This window comes from Homo sapiens, chromosome 2, assembly GCF_000001405.40.
Source record: "Homo sapiens chromosome 2, GRCh38.p14 Primary Assembly".
Lineage (NCBI taxonomy): Eukaryota > Metazoa > Chordata > Mammalia > Primates > Hominidae > Homo > Homo sapiens.
Window position 1 is genome coordinate 137,549,272 of NC_000002.12, and position 14,743 is coordinate 137,564,014.

The following is a 14,743-nucleotide window of genomic DNA, read 5'->3' on the forward strand; positions in this document are numbered from 1 at the left end:
CCTGCCAGAAGGCAGACATGTCTTTTTTTTCAGATGCTCTTTTTTTTTTTTTTTTTTTTTTTTTGCAACAGAGATAGAAAGTTTTCCGTTTTCACCTGATTTCTGATGGTCATATTCTGTGGCGCAGACTCACTCACTCAATCTATCTACCTATCCTTGCACTAGACTCTAAACAGTATCTCCTAGATGGTAAAAGCAGTGATAGGTTTCCATGGTGCAATCCAACCCTTTCTGAGACACATAACTTAAAAAATATTATTCTGATAAGGACACTTAGCATGAAATCCTCTTAACAGATTATCAAGTGTACAATACAGCGTTGTTATCTACAGGCACGGCATCATACTGTAGGTCTCCAGAACTTACTAATCTTGCATAACTGAAGTTTTATAACCATTGATTAGGAACTCCTTATTTCCCTGACCCGCCAGCCCCTGGCAACCACCATTCTATTCTTTGTGTCTATGAGTTTGACTATTTTAGATACCTCACCTAAGTCTATCACGCAGTATTTGTCCTTTTGTGATTGGCATATTTCACTTAGCATAGTGTCCTCAAGGTTCATCCATAACCTCTTTTCTGAAGACCTGTAAATTCAGCTCTTCCAATATTTTTCTGAGAGTATCAATCATAGCTAGCATGGTGTTGCTTTTTTTCACTTGAACTTGACTGATAACTACAATCTGTTCTATGAAAATTGGAAGGACCACCATGGCTGGAGTCCCTGGCACGCCGTGAACAATCTCCAAAATCCCATCTGATTTCTTGCCATAATACAGCATGGCAGTGGGAAGCATCTCCCAGGGTATTGGAGAAGGCATTTTAGACTCTGGAGTGACCTTCCCTCTCTCACTCTACTTGCTGTGACTGTTTGCATAGTGCTGTGGAACAGAATGTGGGCTTTACAGTTCAACTTACCCCAAGTGCCTATGTCAATATGCTCCCTCAGTCCTGTTAAAAAAAAAAATACAGTGGGAGTCTGATCAGCACTCAAATTTGTCTGTACATGTGTGTTAGTACTTGCCTGGTAGAATATCATGCGCTTTATAGGATCTGCACAACAATAATTTATGTTGCTGATTGAGTGCCCCTTACTGTGTATTCAATTTGAAGTCATAATTTATTTTCATAGTCACTTAAACCACGCACAATCAGAAATATAAATCTGCTATAGGGGGAAATATAATATTCTGCATTAAGAAACTAAGGAATTTCTACTTCTCTGCCATTACAAATAATATAAACTACAACAGCACAGATAGCTTAGCTTTAACTATGGTCTTTGAGACAAGGGCTTTGTGGCTGCCCTCTGTTAAATATGTTGTGTAGTGGGAAGGGGCACTGTGTGCAACATCCTTGAAGGGAGTCAGGAAGCACAGGAGTGAGGATGAAGTACATGCATGGCTTACGACTGCATTTATTAAGTCTCAGTGCTTCCACCATGGCAAGGAAAATAAGACTATGTGGATGACATGGATGGTTTAGCTTGGAGTAGGGGTTGGCTTGATTTTGAGGACCTCATGTTTATAAGATCATCAGTGATACTCAGGCCAGAGGGAAAGGGTTAAGTGCTTTAGATCATTAGAAAATGAAAGGTAGAGTCCAGAGCTCAGTTCTATGCTTAGTACCTGGGTAACAAATTCGTCTGTACACCAAACCCCTGAGTTATGAGTTTACCTATATAACAAACCTTCACATGTACCCCTGAACCTAAAATGAAAGTTAAAATATTAAAATAAATAAATAAATAAATAATAAAAAAGCAACCGAATCATTGAAGTAATCAAAAGATAAAAATATATAAAGATACAAGCTGAAAAAAAATCCAGAGTTCAGAACTTCTCAGAAAAAATTATTCTTCAAAAAATTATCCTTCTGAAAGTGATCTCTGAAGGTCTGTTATATGCATATATAAGCAGCAGTGTGTTTTTAGGGCATAGCCTTTTTGTTAGTAAATTTCTTCTCTTCTTTATATGTAAAGGCAGCAGTTCCCTTCATTTTTGATATGAAGACCTTATACTCTTTCTTAGTCAGCCTGAATTGGGAAAATGCCTAAGGGGAGAAAAGCTCATTCAAGTTCAGCAGTGCCTTCAAATGAAATTAAAATTTCATTAATCACAATGGTGCCTACATTCATTTGACAAGAGATGGCACCAACATGCCTCAGATTATGTTATTCATTGAGACTACAGACAAGGTTTAGGATGTGAAATGTTCATGGGCCCCTTGCAATAATATTGCTGTCCTTAAGAGCCACACATCCAGATTGCAAACCACTGTTCTTAGGCGAAGGGGAATGCAGCTACCAAAGTTATTCTAATAAACTTCCCATTGGCTTTAAAGTTCAAAAATTTATTTATCAATACATTTTGTTAAATAAAGCTTATTTAGTATTATTAGTTTCATTTTTTGGTTCTTAATATCAAAATTGAGAACACATAATGCATATTAAAACTAAGATGATTCCTAACAAACCAGGCGTGATGGGAAGCTCAGAGTATTCTGAGGACATCTGCTCAATTTCTGTGTAGGTAAAAAATCTAGTGTGTGAAAATGCCTGCAAACCGGAGGATAGCCTGGGCCTGGGGCTTGAGCATCTGGCTTAAAATGGACAGTTATCAAGAGGGGTAACTGACCCAGGACCACTGGACCTAGGATCTCCAGAGATACCTGACTCCCAGTGCTACCCTCTTGAGAGACCAATAGTACACGTGACAGGCATAATAGTTTTCCTACAGATACCAATTCAAAAATGTCTCTGGAAATTTCCTAACCCACCATCTTCCCACAAATAATTGCAACCTTCCAAAAGACATAGGCCTGCTCTTGCTTTAAACATGAAAGGTAGTTTACTGAAAGACTTTTTGACTTTTTGAAATTGTCGAATGCATCTCCTTACCCAAAGACTAAGAATAAATTGCTTTTGTGGCTTTTTTTTTCTATATAAAATAACAGGCATCATCTAATTTATAGGCAACTTTGAAAATTCTGTTTCTGGCTTTCCTTTTGCAGGAATTTAGAACTATTAGAATTATGTTCATTGAAAAGGTGTTCAGTATCTCTTGGAGGATAGTGATGTGCCTGAACAAACTAAATGGGCAGAGCCTGTGCACCACTGGCCCCTCCAGAATTGGCATCTCACCATCTCAGTGTGAGTGTGGGCATTAGCTTCCCTCAAATTTCAGTTATTATTTTTTTCCTTTTTTTCCTGTTAGTAAGGATCATACCAACCTTGTCTAACTCCAATGAGTGTGATGACCAAGACTTAAGACACAGAATACCTTACATAAGCTATAAAGTTCTACACTGTATTATTGTGGTATCACTGCTGGCCAGATACTATTAATGGGCATATTTGTACAGCTTGTGGGTATGGTTGTGTTAGGACTAAAACTTAGCATTGCATGCATTACATTGTACACAAACAGATATGAATGCATGGTTGATAAAAATGGAAGCACAACTTCTTTGTGTAAGTGTGATCCTTTCCAGTCAGTCAGACCAATCAGAATGGAGGAAAGCATAACTTAGTTGCTGATTGAATAAGAAAAGGGTCAGAATGTGGTAAATTGGAGGAGAGTATAGCCCAGAGAACCCATGTGGGGGGAAAGTGTGAGCCATGAATGAGAAAAGAGAGAAAGCCTGGACACCTATAGAATGGCTAGGAGTAAGTTCATTGAATTAGGGGATGGGGATCCTAGGCCTGATGAGAGGCAAAATTGGACAGCTTATGGAAAGAGCTCACAACATTTGGAGAAGAAGCAATCTCATAGTGCTTTATTGATCTCAGTGTTCCTAGAGACCATTTCCCCTAACATTCCAATGAAATCGACATTGAATATGACTTGCCAGGATCTCTGGTCCCAGATGGGCCTTTGAACTTGTTTCCAAGTTCTATTGAGTAGACACAATGCCCAGCATGGAGGTCTCAAGCTTGAAGACATCTACCTGGGTCTTGACTTGCAGCTTCACTAGAGCAAGGTTTATTGCTACAGAAAGGCAGAAGCTGTAAATTTTCTATTTTTTTAATGTGGTTGTTGTTAAAGGATTATTTGTTTTATTTGAGCCCTTGAACCCTATGGCTCTGACACACACAGTAAGACCCCGCTTCCAAGTTTATGGCAGGGAAGTCAGTCTGTAGCTAGAGAAGCAGTATCAGAAAGCAGTACTTAGTTAAATTGATCAATTACAATGAATGGAGGCTTATTTAGTAAATATTAAAAGACTGACTCAATGAATGAGTTTATGATATGACTCCGGAACTGGCAAAATTATAAAAACACAATTCCCATGTGAAGAAATAACAAATAGGACTCATTACTAGGAGAATGAAATGTTGCCTCTCTCAGAGGATTTGGACTTTTCAGTGGCATTTTTTTAGCATCTATGGCCCTATTAAACCTTGTTATTTTTTCCCTAATTTGTGCCATTCAGAAATAGATTTCATTTAACTTTCCCATGGCTCATTTCTCTCCCTTAGAACATTTTCATATGATTCCCTGATAAAGTCCATGCAGCAACACATTTCCATTATAAAACTATAATAAGCACCAACTAAACAGCAACGTAAAATAGGCAGAGCATAAAAGACTGACATGAGAAGGAATTGGGCATCTGGGTAGTTAATTTTTATTCTTGAATGCCCTGCTGCTTTTTTGACTTTTGTGGGTGTTTTTGGTCCTCTAGATAAGATTCCTTGCCTGTTGGACAAAAGCTTTAAGGAGACATTTTTCACGATTCTTAAAAGATAGCTACTTTTTTTTTTTTTTTCAGCAAGAAAATCATCAACTGATACCTTTCAATGACATAGTGAGATTGCTGTTCTTCACCAAAGTTCCATAATGGAAAGAAAAGATTTTTATTTTTGTTCCTTCTAATCATCCTTTGTGCTTTCTAAAATATCCCTTACTCATTTCATGGAGTGGGACTGTTTTCTCTAGAGAATTAAGTGAGGAGCGTTTAGCAACCTGTGTCCCTTCAATAATTGTTTCAATTCAACCAATATTTATTAATAGCCTCCCCTTCACCTTATGTCTTGCGAAAAATATGCATCATGGAAACACACCCTCTCCCTACAGAAGACACAAATTTTTTCCCCAATAAACACTTAAACAAATGCTGACAGTTCAAGTGTAACTTTGGTTATGACCAGAAGCATATGTATGCATGGAGAGGTCAAACTGTGTCTCTCTGAGCATATTGACTCAGTATTATTTCAGGTATGAAATAGACATATAGTTTTTGGGACTAAGGTGAGATAAAGAGCTAAAGTCATGAAAGGCTAAAAGAGGGGAGGCGGTTCCAAGATGGCCGAATAGGATCAGCTCCAGTCTACAGCTCCCAATGTGAGTGATGCAGAGGTTGGGTGATTTCTGCATTTCCAACTGAGGTACCAGGTTCATCTCACTGGGGCGTGTCAGACAGTGGGTGCAGTACAGTGGATGCAGTGCACCGAGCGTGAGCCAAAGCAGGGCAAGGCATCACCTCACCCGGGAAGCACAAGGGGTCAGGGAATTCCCTTTCATAGCCAAACAAATCTGTGACAGAAGGCACTTGGAAAATCGGGTCACTCCCACCTTAATACTGCACTTTTCCAATGGTCTTAGTAAACAGCACACCAAATTATGTCCCGACCCAGGCTCGGAGGGTCCCATGCTCAGGGAGCCCCGCTCACTGCTAGCACAGCAGTCTGAGATCAAACTGAGGCAACAGCAAGTCTGAGGGAGGGGCGCCCACCATTGTTGAGGCTTGAGTAGGTAAATAAAGCTACTGGGAAGCTCAAACTGGGTGGAGCCCACTGCAGTTCAAGGAGGCCTGCCTGCCTCTGTAGACTCCACCTCTAGGGGCAGGGCATAGCCCAACAAAAGGCAACAGAAACCTCTGCAGACTTAAATGTCCCTGTCTGACAGCTTTGAAGAGAGTAGTGGTTCTCCTAGCATGGAGTTTGAGATTGGAGAATGGACAGACTGCCTCCGCAAGTGGGTCCCTGACCCCCGAGTAGCCTATCTGGGAGGCACCCCCTAGTAGGGGCAGACTGACACCTCATACGGCCAGGTACCCCTCTGAGATGAAACCTCCAGGGGAACGATTAGACAGCAACATTTGCTGTTCAGCAACATTCGCTGTTCTGCAGCATCTGCTGCTGATACCCAGGCAAACAGGGCCTGGAGTGGACCTCCAGCAAACTCCAACAGACCTGCAGCTGAGGCTCCTGACTGTTAAAAGGAAAACTAACAAACAGAAAGGACATCCACACCAAAACCCCATCTGTATGTCACTATCATCAAAGACCAAAGGTAGATAAAACCACCAAGATGGGGAAAAAACAGAGCAGAAAAATTGAAAATTCTAAAAATCAGAGGGCCTCTCTTCCTCCAAAGGAACACAGCTCCTCACCAGCAACGGAACAAAGCTGGACAGAGAATGACCTTAATGAGTTGAGAGAAGAAGGCTTCAGATGACTAAACTTCTCGGAGCTAAAGGAAGAAATTTGAACCCATCGCAAAGAAGTTAAAAACCTTGAAAAAAGACTAGACGAATGGCTAGCTAGAATAACCAATGCAGAGAAGTCCTTAAAGGACCTCATGGAGCTGAAAACCATGGCATGAGAACTACGTGACGAATGCACAAGCTTCAGTAGCCATTTTGATTAACTGGAAGAAAGGGTATCAGTGATTGAAGATCAAATGAATGAAATGTAGCGAGAAGAGAAGTTTAGAGAAAGAAGAGAAAAAGAAACGAACAAAGCCTCCAAGAAATATGGGAATATGTGAAAAGACCAAATCTACGTCTAATTGGTGTACGTAAAAGTGATGGAGAGAAAGGAACCAAGTTGGAAAACACCCTGCAGGATATTATCCAGGAGAACTTCCCCAACCTAGCAAGACAGGCCAACATTCAAATTCAGGAAATACAGAGAATGCCACAAAGATACTCTTCGAGAAGAGCAACTCCCAGACACATAACTGTCAGATTCACCAAAGTTGAAATGAAGCAAAAAATGTTAAGGGCAGACAGAGAGAAAGGTCGGGTTACCCACAAAGGGAAGCCCATCAGACTAACAGCTGATCTCTCAGCAGAAACTCTACAAGCCAAAAGAGAGTGGGGGCCAATATTCAACATTCTTAAAGAAAAGAATTTTCAACCCAGAATTTCATATCCAGCCAAACTAAGCTTCCTAAGTGAAGGAGAAATAAAATCCTTTACAGACAAGCAAATGCTGAGAGATTTTGTCACCACCAGGCCTGCCCTAAAAGAGCTCCTGAAGAAAGCACTAAACATGGAAAGGAACCAGCGGTACCAGCCACTGCAAAAACATGCCAAATTGTAAAGACCATCGATGCTAGGAAGAAACTGCATCAACTAATGAGCAAAATAACCAGCTAACATCATAATGACAGGATCAAATTCAACACATAACAATATTAACCTTAAATGTAAATGGGCTAAATGCTCCAATTAAAAGACACAGACTGGCAAATTAGATAGAGTCAAGACCCATCAGTGTGCTGTATTCAGGAGATCCATCTCACTTGCAGAGACACACATAGGCTCAAAAGAAAGGGATGGAGGAAGATCTACCAAGCAAATGGAAAACAAAAAAAGGCAGGGGTTGCAATCCTAGTCTCTGATAAAACAGACTTTAAACCAACAAAGATCAAAAGAGACAAAGAAGGCCATTACATAATGGTAAAGGGATCAATTCAACAAGGAGAGCTAACTATCCTAAATATATATGCACCCAATACAGGAGCACCCAGATTCACAAAGCAAGTCCTTAGAGACCTACAAAGAGACTTAGACTCCCACACAATAATAATGGGAGACTTTAACACCCCACTGTCAACTGTAGACAGATCAACAAGACAGAAAGTTAAGAGGGATATCCAGGAATTGAACTCAGCTCTGCACCAAGCAGACCTAATAGACATCTACAGAACTCTCCACCCCAAATCAACAGAATATACATTCTTCTCAGAACCACACCACACCTATTCCTAAATTGAGCACATAGTTGAAAGTGAAGCACTCCTCAGCAAATGTAAAAGAACAGAAATTATAACAAACTGTCTCTCAGACCACAGTGCAATCAAACTAGAACTCAGGATTAAGAAACTCACTTAAAACCACTCAACTACATGGATACTGAACAACCTGTTCCTGGAAACTGAACAACCTGCTCCTGAATGAATACTGGGTACATAATGAAATGAAGGCAGAAATAAAGATGTTCTTTGAAACCAACGAGAACAAAGACACAACATACCAGAATCTCTGGGACACATTTAAAGCAGTGTGTAGAGGGAAATATATAGCACTAAATGCCCACAAGAGAAAGCAGGAAAGATCTAAAATTGACACCCTAACATCACAATTAAAAGAACTAGAAAAGCAAGAGCAAACACATTCAAAAGCTAGCAGAAGGCAAGAAATAACTAAGATCAGAGCAGAACTGAAGGACATAGAGACACAAAAAACCCTTCAAAAAAACAATGAATCCAGGAGCTGGTTTTTTGAAAAGATCAACAAAATTGATAGACCACTAGCAAGACTAATAAAGAAGAAAACAGAGAAGAATCAAATAGACGCAATAAAAAATGATAAGGGATATCACCACTGATCCCACAGAAATACAAACTACCAACAGAGAATACTATAAACACCTCTATGCAAATAAACTAGAAAATCTAGAAGAAATGGATAAATTCCTGGACACATATACCCTCCCAAGACTAAACCAGGAAGAAGTTGAATTCCTCAATAGACCAATAACAGGCTCTGAAATTGAGGCAATAATTAATAGCTTACCAACCACAAAAAGTCCAGGACCAGATGGATTCACAGCCGAATTCTACCAGAGGTACAAGGAGGAGCTGGTACCATTCCTTCTGAAACTATTCCAATCAATAGAAAAAGAGGGAATTCTCCCTAACTCATTTTATGAGGCCAGCATCATCCTGATACCAAAGCCTGGCAGAGACACAACAAAAAAAGAAAATTTTAGACCAATATCCCTGATGAACATCGATGCAAAAATCCTTAATAAAATACTGGCAAACTGAATCCAGCAGCACATCAAAAAGCTTATCCACCATGATCAATTGGGCTTCATCCCTGGGATGCAAGGCTGGTTCAACATATGCAAATCAATAAACATAATCCAGCATATAAACAGAACCAAAGGCAAAAACCACGTGATTATCTCAATAGATGCAGAAAAGGCCTTCAACATAATTCAACAGCCCTTCATTCTAAAAACTCTCAATAAACTAGATATTGATGGAAAGTATCTCAAAATACTAAGAGCTGTTTATGACAAAGTCACAGCCAATATCATACTGAATAGGCAAAAACTGGAAGCATTCCCTTTGAAAACTGGCACAAGACAGGGATGTCCTCTTGCACCACTCCTATTCAACATAGTGTTGGAAGTTCTGGCCAGGGCAATCAGGCAGGAGAAAGAAATAAATGGTATTCAATTAGGAAAAGAGGAATTCAAATTGTCCCTGTTTGCAGATGACATGGTTGTATATTTAGAAAATCCCATCATCTCAGCCCCAAATCTCCTTAAGCTGATAAGCAACTCCAGCAAAGTCTCAGGATACAAAATCAGTGTGCAAAAATCACAAGCATTCTTATACACCAATAACAGACAAACAGAGAGCCAAATCATGAGTGAACTCCCATTCACAATTGCTTCAAAGAGAATAAAATACCTAGGAATCCAACTTACAAGGGATGTGAAGGACCTCTTCAAGGAGAACTACAAACCACTGCTCAATGAAATGAAAGAGGACACAAACAAATGGAAGAACATTCCAAGCTCATGGATAGGAAGAATCAATATCGTGAAAATGGCCATACTGCCCAAGGTAATTTATAGATTCAATGCCATCCCCATCAAGCTACCAATGACTTTCTTCACAGAATTGGAAAAAACTACTTTAAAGTTCATATGGAACCAAAAAAGAGCCCGCATTGCCAAGTCAATCCTAAGCCAAAAAACAAAGCTGGAGGCATCACGCTACCTGACTTCAAACTATACTGCAAGGCTACAGTAACCAAAACAGCATGGTACTGGTACCAAAACAGAGATATAGACAAATGGATCATAACAGAGCCCTCAGAGATAATACCACACATCTACAACTATCTGATTTTTGACAAACCTGACAAAAACAAGAAATGGGGAAAGGATTCCCTATTTAACAAGCGGTGCTGGGAAAACTGGCTAGCCATATGTAGAAAGCTGAAACTGGATCCCTTCCTTACACAGTATACAAAAATTAATTCAGGATGGACTAATGACTTAAATGTTAGACCTAAAACCATGAAAACCCTAGAAGAAAACCTAGGCAATACCATTCAGGACATAGGCATGGGCAAAGACTTCATGTCTAAAATACCAAAAGCAATGGCAACAAAAGCCAAAATTCACAAATGGGATCTAATTACACTAAAGAGCTTCTGCACAGCAAAAGAAACTACCATCCAATTGAACAGGCAACCTACAGAATGGGAGAAAATTTTTGCAATCTACTCATCTGACAAAGGGCTAATATCCAGAATCTACAAAGAACTCAAACAAATTTACAGGAAAGAAACAGCCCCATCAACAAGTGGGTGAAGGATATGAACAGACACCTCTTAAAAGAAGACATTTATCCAGCCAAGAGACACATCAAAAAATGCTCATCATCACTGGCCATCAGAGAAATGCAAATCAAAACCAGAATGAGGTATTATCTCACACCATTTAGAATGGCGATCATTAAAAAGTCAGGAAACAACAGGTGCTGGAGAGGATGTGGAGAAATAGGAATACTTTTACACTGTTGGTGGGACTGTAAACTGGTTCAACCATTATGGAAGACTGTGTGGCGATTCCTCAAGGATCTAGAACTAGAAATACCATTTGACCCAGCCATCCCATTGCTGGGTATATACCCAAAGGATTATAAATCATGCTGCTATAAAGACACATGCACACGTGTGTTTATTGCAGCACTACTCACAATAGCAAAGACTTGGAACCAACCCAAATGTCCAACAATGATAGACTGGGTTAAAAAAAATGTGGCACATATACACCATGGAATACTATGCAGCCATAAAATATGATGAGTTCATGTCCTTTGTAGGGACATGGATGAAGCTGGAAACCATCATTCTCAGCAAACTATCTCAAGGAGAAAAAACCAAACACCACATGTTCTCACTCATAGGTGGGAATTGAACAATGAGAACACATGGACACAGGAGGGGGAACATCACACACCGGGGCCTGTTGTGGGGTGGGTGGAAGGGAGAGGGATAGCATTAGGACATATACCTAATGTAAATGACGAGCTAATGGGTGCAGCACACCAACATGGCACATGTATACATATGTAACAAACCTGCACGTTGTGCACATGTACCCTAGAACTTAAGGTATAATAAAATATATATATATATAAAGAAATGCTAAAAGATGCACAAAGGAGTCCAGGTGCTGACTTTTTTGAGTGTTTGCTCCCCTAGCAGCCCACCATGTGTCCCTAACAACACCACTGCCCAGCCCCAAACATGTGTACTCTGGCTTTATTATCTGGCTTAAAGCTGGGACTGTGACTGCATCCCAAAGAAACACTAACTGGGGTCAGAGGAAGAGCCTTGTGTTGTGATGGGGTTAACTTGGGCTTTAAAGCAAGAGGGTAAGGATTTGTCAGCTAGAATGAACAGCATGAACAATTCTTAAATGATAGACACATATGGGGAAAATTTTCAAGTAATTCCATGAGAATGTAGAATCTTGTTTAAGAGGTGCTGTTTAAATGCTATTACTCAAGAAGGTATCTCCACATCTTCCTATACAGACATTCTCCCTGTCTTCCAATAGCTTGACATTGCAGATAGCTATCCTGCTGCAGGTGCAGACAACTGGAGCATAAAGAATATAAGCAAGAAACCAATATACAATCAGGTGGTCAAATGTTTATACCAAAGGTACATGCAACTAAACAAACAGTTTTTCATTTTTAGTTTGACCTTGGGGCTTTATATGGGAGGGAAGGTGAAAATCTAAGTTCTACTTAGTATTGATAGCTTTAGAAAAAATACTTTCATTTCAGAGAGTTTATCTCAACCCTTTGCTCTTAAATTCATGCATGAAATATAGGATAAATTACTTTTCAAATTAAGTTTTTCATCCAGCCCTGTTTGTACAAAGCACTTTGGCAGAGGTGCTCTCTTCTATCTCAGGGAAAATCCAAAAAGCTTTGTTTAATTAACAGATATTAAAGGGTTCAGATGATGAAAACATAAATTCAGTGAAAGCATCGTTGTCGTGATGCAGTCAGATCAGCTAAACCCTCGGCTGTCATCAGCTCAATTTCTTAGTATGTTTGGTTGGGGTCCTATCTCTTCATTTTTATAGATTATTTTCTTACATCTACTATCCTATGACTGTTATGGGAAAGACTTCTTAGGTATAAGATATCACCCCCTTATTCTAATGTAGGAACTGCTTCTGACCCTTTCATTCCATTCTTGCCAGCATTCACAGCATGAAATGTGATTATTTTATTACTTAATTCCTTTCTTTCCACACACCCATTTCCACTTCTATTTTCCCATCTTTCATTTTGTCCTCACATATTTGTTACTTTGTGTTTTATCTTCTTGTGAGTTCTAAGTGAGACAGCCAAGTAGAACCAGATGGTTAAAAATAGTTTCTGACATTATTTGTGATTCTTCAGAGGTAGTCTTGCAAATCACTTTTTCTCATTTGATTTTTACCTAACATGCTGACAGTGCTCCAATCTTGTTTCTTGATTATCCTATTACATAGTGCCTTCCTTTGCATTTAGTAAAAACATACAAGCAATGGTTCTGTTTGGATAGTGCAACCTAGTTATCATTTACAATTTTATGGAATTAGAAAGGCAAGAGGAGGAAAGGATTGAGACTTAAATTATTATTTAAAAGGAAAAGCATGAATTAACTACATTGGTGATAGGTGGAACCATTCTTTGTAAGCAGGCCTATAATTGAGCCATCTTTGTGATCATGCAATGGAAGAGCATTCTTTTTCTTACCTAGAAAGAGCACTGTTCCTCATATAAAGGAGCAATGCAATTGAAATGCAGCCACAAAGAGGTAGACAAACTCAATTGGCTGCCCACTGGGATACAATTTCAGTTAAAAAAAATCACCACAAACAAATGCATAGGAAGTAACCTAAGAATTCATTTACTGTACTCATTGTTTTCACCATAAAATTGTAAATATTCATAGTCAGTAATCATGCAGAGCCAGTAACAGTTTAGCAGTATTTCTCTTTGTGTGTGTGTGTGTGTGTGTGTGTGTGTGTGTGTGTATCTGTTTTAGCTACACTCTGAAAACATCCTACATATAGCTAAATTTATATGAAGCCACAATACCCAGGAGGCTAAATGATTGCCTGTTAGCATTGATCATTTGGGGGCATAAAAAGAAATTTCCGGTACAAATCATATCACTTTTCTTATGCATTGTAAGAACTCCTTATATTCAAGAATAATTTTCCTTATATATGTTTGTTTCAATTGACATGTTAAAGTACATCTGAGAATACAATATACCATACAATTGAGAGCTGGACCATCTAATAGATGCTGTGTGAGCTCTCAGAGGAAATGAAATGATAATGGAATTCCTATTCTTGGCACTAGGAAATGACCGTCCTTTGTTCTCTTCTGTGAAAGCATGCCATCATATTTTAGTTGATTTCCCCTGTATGCTTCTTTAGGCAAGTCAGTAAATTCAGAGAAGCCAAATCTATCTTGCTTTTTTGGGAAAGTAATTTGGCTGTTTGGGCCAGAGTGCAGTTTCTTGGGTTATGTTCAGCAAGCATTACTAAAAGATAGGCTATTTTTCTATAAGTTGGATAGTTCCACATAATTTTGTTTCTTTCCTGTTCTTGACAGGTACATGAGGCAGTCCCATGTTACAGTGAGTGCAATCAGTATTCCTGGGTTGTAGAACACTGGTCTTCATGCAAAATCAACAATGAGCTGAGGTCCCTGCGCTGTGGAGGAGGAACACAATCTAGGAAAATCAGGTGTGTGAAAATGGAGAGATTTGGGAAATAGGGGGAAGTGGAACTTATACATTTTTTATAAAAACAACAGTGATGTTTATCCAAGTACACTCTGATTTTCATAACATATACTCTGGTTTTTTCTCATCTTTGAAATATTCATTGAAATAAGTGCATCCTTACCTGCCATGTGTATAGTGGGGTTCCCTCTGCAGTGCAGCCACAATCCTTTAGCGTATCCTGCAAATGACATTGGTGCGAGAACCACCTGCAATGGAGCAGGCTGCTGTCACTCCACTGATTCATGGCCGTTATTCTTAACAAATTAGGAGATTCTGACTGTGTTGCCATTGGTCTTTTTTGCATTATGGTTAGTATAGTTGATGAACATTTTCTTAATTTTGGATGTTGATAATTAAAAAGGTTAATTTAAACCCCATGATTAGCCTTGGAAACTAAAGTCTGAGAATACCTATGAACAGTAGCAATACATGTTAATATAAGAGAAACACATCTCTGAGAGAATTTAGTGAATGCTAGATTATTTACTGAGGAAACTGGTTTAAAGTTTTTGGTTTAGAAATATAGCAGTGTTAACCAAAGGAAATACATGGTCTGAGTTTGTCAAGATGGTCTATTTTGAAATGATTTTGAAAGAAAGAAGAACGATGTCCTTACCAA

General features: G+C 39.1%; 1 protein-coding gene across 2 annotated transcripts in view; it reads left to right on the forward strand.

The window, feature by feature from the left end:
* THSD7B (thrombospondin type 1 domain containing 7B) overlaps positions 1–14,743 on the forward strand; it is a 912,174-nt gene that overhangs the window by 783,727 nt on the left and 113,704 nt on the right. For both annotated transcript variants that reach the window (NM_001316349.2, XM_047445935.1), the window contains exon 16: positions 13,950–14,083. In NM_001316349.2, coding sequence (NP_001303278.1) covers positions 13,950–14,083 — 134 coding nt within the window. The remainder of the gene's footprint in view (positions 1–13,949; positions 14,084–14,743) is intronic.